The sequence below is a fragment of the Homo sapiens genome, chromosome 8 (genome assembly GCF_000001405.40).
Source record: "Homo sapiens chromosome 8, GRCh38.p14 Primary Assembly".
In the NCBI taxonomy this organism is placed as follows: domain Eukaryota; kingdom Metazoa; phylum Chordata; class Mammalia; order Primates; family Hominidae; genus Homo; species Homo sapiens.
Window position 1 is genome coordinate 53017102 of NC_000008.11, and position 6909 is coordinate 53024010.

Genomic DNA, 6909 nt, shown 5'->3' on the forward strand with positions numbered 1-6909 from the left:
TCTCCCCAGCTCCTAGAAACGACCAATCATGTGTACTCTGTCTCTATGGATTTATCTATGATAGATATTTCATATAAACAAAGCCATAAAATGTGTGATCATTTCTGTCTGGTTTCTTTCACTTAACACGTTTTTGAGATTCATCAGCATTGTAGCATGAAATATTCCATTGTGTGGATATACTACAATTTGTGTATCCATTCACGGGTTGATGAACAATTCAACTGTTTCAGCCATTTAGCTATTGTGAATAGCACTGCACTATTTTACAATCCCACCAACAACATATGAGAGTTCCAATTTCTTCGTATCCTCACCAGCACTTGTTATTTTCCTTTTTTGTTTAAGTTTTTTTTTTTTAAATTATAGCCATCCTAGTGAGTGTGAAGTGCTATCTTATTGTTGCTTTGATTTGCACTTCCCTAATGACTAATGATTTTGAGCATCTTTTCTTGTGCTTTTTGGCCTTTTCTGTGTCTTTTTTGGAGAAATATCTAAGTCCTTTGCCTATTTTTAATCAGGTTGTTTGTCTTTTTGCTGTTGAGTTGTAAAATTTCTTTATGTATTCTGGATCCTAGACCCTTATTGATTATATGATTTGCAAATAATTCTCATTCTAGTAAAACTTTCTTCTTTTGTGTTCCCAAAGAGATAAATGTCCGGGCCAGGTGTGGTGGCTCACGCCTGTAATCCCAGCACTGTGGGAGGCTGAGGCTGGCGGATCACCTGAGGTCGGGAGTTCGAGCCTGACCAACACGGAGAAACCCCATCTTTACTAAAAATACAAAATTAGCCAGGTGTGGTGTTGCATGCCTGGAATCCTAGCTACTCGGGAAGCTGAGGCAGGAGAATCACTTGAACCTGGGAGGCAGAGGTTGTGGTGAGCCGAGATCACACCACTTCTCTCCAGCCTGGGCAACAGGAGTGAAACTCCAGCTCAAAAGAAAAAAAAAAGATAAATGTCCTTAATTATCTCTTCCACGAACCCTTCTTTGACTCTCCCCAGTGCTCTCTGTCTGCTTTGTTTCATGTATACTTTTATGCTTCTCATATTTATCTGGTGGTTTGGTGGAAAGGGAAAAAGTTTAAAATTCTGGTTAATTATATGCCAATCCCCATAATCTTGCATGGCTGCCCACTTAATATTCTCCCTCAGAATAATGAGTGGAAGAGCAGAGCTATTTTTACATCTATAAATTGTGATTTTTCTTTAATGTTCCATAGGAAAAGATGTAAGTTGTTCTCTGTGAACTTGAGGAATGGTGAATAACTATTTAGCTAGCCAGCCTAGCCACAGCTCCAATATACTAGCCTGGGTGATCTAGTTTACACTGTATCAATCCTAACTATTATACTAGGATAACATTTTATTTGGAGGAAGTGAGAAATGCCCATTTCTAGAGGGCCAAATCAAGTATGTGGTACTTGTTGATCATTGTTTTAATATGTACAAAATGCTGTTGACTTTCCTTTTATTTGGTATGTCATGTTTATTGTTTATGTTAAAAATGCAAAAGGGGGGGCAGGGCCAAGATGGCCCACTAGGAACAACAACAATCAGAGGCTCCCATTGAAAAGAAGCATATTTAGTATGTGAATCCTTCACTGGCAACCAATATATTCAGGTTCTCTCGTCAGAATTGACTAGGCAGCTGATGTGATCCGCGGAAAGGAAGGAAGAGCAGTGTGGTGCAGCGGCCCACCTGAGAGCCACATGGGGCAAGGGAGCACCCGCTTCCCGGCCAAGGGAGGCAGTGAGTAAACATGCTACCTAGCTGGGGAAACTGTGTTTTATCCACAGAACTGTGCAACCCATGGATCAAAGATTCCACTTGCAAACCCACACCACTGGGGCCCAGAGTCCCAACCCCCAACCCTGGAGCCCTGCAGATTCTCAGTAGCCTCTCAGCTGGAATCTGCCTAAGCCTACTGTGCCCCTTGAGGCGGGGGGAGGGGCGACCAACACCACAGCTGAAGCTGCCTGCTGCCTAAGCTGTTTGAGCTCCTTGGGGGAGGGGCAGCAGCCAATACTGGGACTGATAGCAACCTAACACATTAAGCTCCCAGGGTGGGGAAGGGCAGCAGCTATCTCTATTGCTCCAGGCCACACTTTTCCCCTGCTGAAGCCAGGGAGGCTGGACGGCTTGGTCTCCAAGAGGTGTCCCCCACAGCCCAACACACCAGCTGTGGCAGACTGCGGCCAGAGCACCTCTTCAGGCCTGACCCTGACACACCCTTCCTCACTGGGTGGGGCTTCCCTGCAGGAACTCCAACAACTCCAGCCAGAAGCTCAGGGACAGAACCCGGATCTCCCTAGGCCTGAGCACTTAGAGGGAGGGGTGGTCACAGTCTCTGCAGACCAGCAGACTTAGCCTTTCCTCCTGGTAGTTCTGAGGAATCCCAGCAGTCCAGATGAGTGGGTTTTCCCCCCAGCGAAGCACACCCCCTCCACCAAGGGAAAGTCAAAGTGCTTCGTTAAATGGGTCATGTTCCCTGTGCCACCCAACTGGGTGAGACCCTGTCTGTTGTCAGACATCCTATACAGGAGCATTCCTACTGGCATCAGGTCAGTGCCCCTCAAGGTAGAAGATCCCAGAAGAAGGAGCAGGCATTCATCTTTGCTGCTCTGGAAACCACCAGTCATGTGTGCTCTGTCTCTATGGATTTACCTATCATAGATATTTCATATAAACAAAGTCATACAATGTGTGATCATTTTTGTACAGTTTCTTTCACTTAACGTGTTTTTAAGATTCATCAGCCTTGTAGCATGAAATATTCCATTGTGTAGATATACTACAATGTATTTATCCATTCATGGGTTGACATCTCCATGTGTAGGAGTGAACTAGATGAACAGCGCCTGAAGTGAAACCCCCACAAACCGAAGCAGCCCTACAGAAGAGGGACCTGACCATTGAAAGAAAAGAAAAACAAGCAAACAGAAAGCAACAACAACAGCATCAACAACAAAAAAGTCCCCACAAAAACCCCATTCAAGGGTCAGCAGCCTCAAGAATCGAAACTAGACAAACTCGTGAAGATGAGAAAGAATCAAAGAAGAAATACTGAAAACCCAAAAGGCCAGAGTGACTCTTCTCCTCCAAATGATTGCAATGCCTCTCCAGCAAGGGCTCAGAACTAGACAGAGGATGAGATGGACGAATTGACAGAAGTATGCTTCAGAAGATGGGTAATAAAAAACTCTGCTGAGCTAAAGGAGCATGTTCTAACCCAATGCAAAGAAGCTAAGAACCTTGATAAAAGGCTAGAGGAGCTACAAAGTAGAATAACTAGTTTAGAGAAGAAAATGAATGACCTGATGGAGCTGAAAAACACAGCACAAGAACTTTATGAAGCATACACAAATATCCATAGCCGAATTGACCAAGTGAAAGAAAGGATATCAGAGTTTGAAGACCACTTGCTGGAATAAGGCATGCAGACAAGATTAGAGAAAAAAGAATGAAAAGGAATGAACAAAGCCTCCAAGAAATATGGGAGTTCGTAAAAAGACTGAACCTACGATTGATTGGGATACCTGAAGGAGACAGGGAGAATGGAACCAAGCTGGAAAACACACTTCAGGATATTGTCCAGGAGAACTCCCCCAATCTAGCAAGACAGGCCAAGATGCAAATTCAGGAAATACAGAGAACACCACTAAGATACTCCACAACAAGATCAACCCCAAGACACATAATCATCAGATTCTCCAAGGTCAAAATGAAGGAAAAAATGCTAAGGGCAGCCAGAGAGAAAGGCCAGGTCACCTACAAAGAGAAGCCCATCAGACCAATAGTGGACCTCTCAGCAGAAACCCTACAAGCCAGAAGAGATTGGGGGCCAATATTCAACATTCTTAAAGAAAAGAATTTTAAATCCAGAATTTTATATTCAGCCAAACTAAGCTTCCTAAGTGAAGGAGAAATAAAATTCTTTCCAGACAAGCAAATGCTGAGGGATTTTGTTAGCACCAGGCCTGCCTTGCAAAAGCTCCTGAAAGAAGCACTAAATATGGAAAGGAAAAACTGGTACCAGCCACTGCAAAAACACACCAAAATATAAAGACCAATGACACTATGAAGAAACTGCATCAACTAATGTGCAAAATAACCAGCTAGCATCATGATGACAGGATCAAATTTACACATAACAATGCTAACCTTAAATGTAAATGGGCTAAAACACAGACTGGAAAATTGGATAAAGAGTCAAGACTCATTGGTGTGCTGTATTCAGAAGACCCACCTGAAGTGCAAAGACACACATAGGCTCCAAATACAGGATGGAGGAAAATTTACCAAGCAAATAGACAGTTAAAAAAAACAACAACAACAAAACAGGGATTGCAATCCCAGTCTTCGACAAAACAGACTTTAAACTAACAAATATAAAAGGGCATTACAAAGAAGGGCATTACATAATGGTAAAGGGAACAATTCAATGAGAAGAGCTATTCTAAATATCCATGCACCCAATACAGGAGCACCCAGATTCACAAAACAGGTTCTTAGAGACCTACAAAGAGACTTAGAGTCCCACACAATAATAGTGGGAGACTTTAACACCCCACTGTCAATATTAGATAGATTAACAAGACATAAAATTAACAAGGACATTCAGACTTGAACTCAGCTCTGGATCAAGTGGACCTAGTAGACATTTACAGAACTCTCCACCCCAAATCAACAGAATATATATTCTTCTCAGTGCTACAAGGAACTTATCCTAAAATTGACCACATAATTGGAAGTAAAACACTTGTCAGCAAATGCAAAAGAACTGAAATCATAACAAACAGTCTCTCAGACCACAGCTCAATCAAATTAGAAGTCAGGATTAAGAAACTCACTCAGAACCACACAATTACATGGAAATTGAACAATCTGCTCCTGAATGACTCCTGGGTAAATAACGAAATTAAGGCAGAAATCACAAATTTCTTTGAAACCAATGAGTACAAAGAGACAACCAGAATCTCCAGGACACAGCTAAAGCAGTGTTAACAGGGAAATTTATAGCACTGAATGCCCACATCAAAAAGCTAGAAAGATCTGAAATTGACACCCTAACATCACAAATAAAACAGCTAGAGAGGCAAGAGCCAACTAATCCAAAAGCTAGCAGAAGACAAGAAATAACTAAGATTTCAGTAAATCCAGGAGCTGGTGTTTTGAAAAAATTAGCAAAATAGACCACTAGCTAGATTAATAAAGAAGAAAAGAGAGAAGAATCAAATAGAAACAATAAAAAATGATAAAGGGGATACCACCACTGACCCCACAGAAATACAAACTACCATCAGAGAATACTATATAAGCACCTTTATGCAAATAAACTAGAAAATCTAAAAGAAATGGATAAATTCCTGGACACACGCACCCTCCCAAGACTAAACCAGGAAGTGGTCAAATCCCTGAATAGACCAATAACAAGTTCTGAAATTGAGGCAGTAATTGATAGCCTACCAACCAAACAAAAATGCACAAGGGCTCACTTATATCCACTAAGTTCCACTTGTAACCTCAATCCCTTAAGTCTACTTTTCTCAGTTGGCAAATGCTGGATTGGAACACAGCATAAACTACTTACAATTTGTAGTGGTTGTTAGTGGTGAAGCGAATACTGAAGTGAAGATCAGGAGGTCAGTTTTGAGTCTGAACTCTGCCACTGATGAGCTGTGTGTCCCAGGGCAAGTTGTTTCCACCCTCTGTGTCAGCATCAATATGAGAAGGGCATGTAATTGCCCCCATGAGCTCCTCCCTCCTCAGAGATTGGGGTTTCAGTTATTATGTGTCTGGTTGTATAGACTGTCTTGGAAATTACTTTCTGTTTTGTTTATTTGTTTGTTTGTTTGTTTGTTTTTTGAGTGTCTAGATTTTGTCAGCGTTTTGTAGTAGATTGAAATCTTCTAAGGGTGGGGGCATAGAACCTGTCTCTTTCTTGTGTCTTTCAATAAAGCCCAATGCAGTTCTGTGCATGGTGCAAAATCTTTGTTGAATAAATGTGTTTGAAGAATTAAAAATGTCAGAAAGCTAAGTATCATTAGTACCAGAGACCTAAATGGTTATAGATATCACTTCATTTAAGAAATGTACATAGGAGCCATCTAACTTCTGTGAGGTAATTTACTGCCACCAGGAAACTGGATCACAGGAAACTGGATTACAGAGAGTGCAATGACATCTCTTAAGCCTCTAATTCCCTCTGTCTCTCTTTTCTTAAGTATAAGGATATGTTCTCCTTCTTACAGTCATGAGGATCTCATATCAGATATGTGTCCTCTTAGTACATTAATCCTGGGCAAATTAGAATTAGAGGAAACCTAGACTGGAAAGAGAAACTAAGTCTGGTGAATGGCAGAGCAGAAATGGAAGGCTTTTCAAATTTGGCTTTGGGAGAGATAACAAGGGGTTGGAGAAGATGAAACATGAATTATATTACACATGCATTAGTGAGGAGGAAGGAGACTGATGTGCTAGAGGATTTCTCTGCAACTTCTCCAGCATCAATGATGCAAAGGTGGCGTGAGAAAGAGGTAAGCAGAGACAGAGTCCCTGAGTCTTAATGGTATTTGTTAAGTAAAAATCACCCAATGCTCCATCCTTCTCAAACACTGACGTTTTTGCACATCTTTGGAATAATGATGAGATTTGGAAAGAGGAAGTCAACAATGGAGTCTTAATACTCTAATGCACTTGAAAGAAGGTCAAAAAATGTTCTTAAATTCATATTGTCTGCCATAGTGACACTCTGGGGAATAGTGATCCTTCGAAATCTCTAATTAACAAGAGATGGAAAATGGAAATTAATTATGCAGTACCCTCATTATTGTTTTCAAATGTACAAAATGTTGTTGATTGTTTTGTTGTTGTTCTATGTGTCACATTTAATTGCTTCATTTCA

At 41.2% G+C, this 6909-nt stretch overlaps 3 annotated features.

The window, feature by feature from the left end:
- Window positions 1265-1999: an enhancer, noted in NCBI's record as "NANOG-H3K27ac-H3K4me1 hESC enhancer chr8:53930926-53931660 (GRCh37/hg19 assembly coordinates)". NCBI's record gives its function as "activates a minimal SCP1, AML or CMV promoter by ChIP-STARR-seq in naive and primed H9 embryonic stem cells {active_cell/tissue: H9 hESC(naive and primed)}" and the evidence as "EXISTENCE:reporter gene assay evidence [ECO:0000049][PMID:30033119]".
- Window positions 2000-2733: an enhancer, noted in NCBI's record as "NANOG-H3K27ac-H3K4me1 hESC enhancer chr8:53931661-53932394 (GRCh37/hg19 assembly coordinates)". NCBI's record gives its function as "activates a minimal SCP1, AML or CMV promoter by ChIP-STARR-seq in naive H9 embryonic stem cells {active_cell/tissue: H9 hESC(naive)}" and the evidence as "EXISTENCE:reporter gene assay evidence [ECO:0000049][PMID:30033119]".
- Window positions 2856-3145: an enhancer, noted in NCBI's record as "active region_27350". NCBI's record gives its function as "activates an Ori minimal core promoter by ATAC-STARR-seq in GM12878 lymphoblastoid cells {active_cell/tissue: GM12878}" and the evidence as "EXISTENCE:reporter gene assay evidence [ECO:0000049][PMID:35858748]".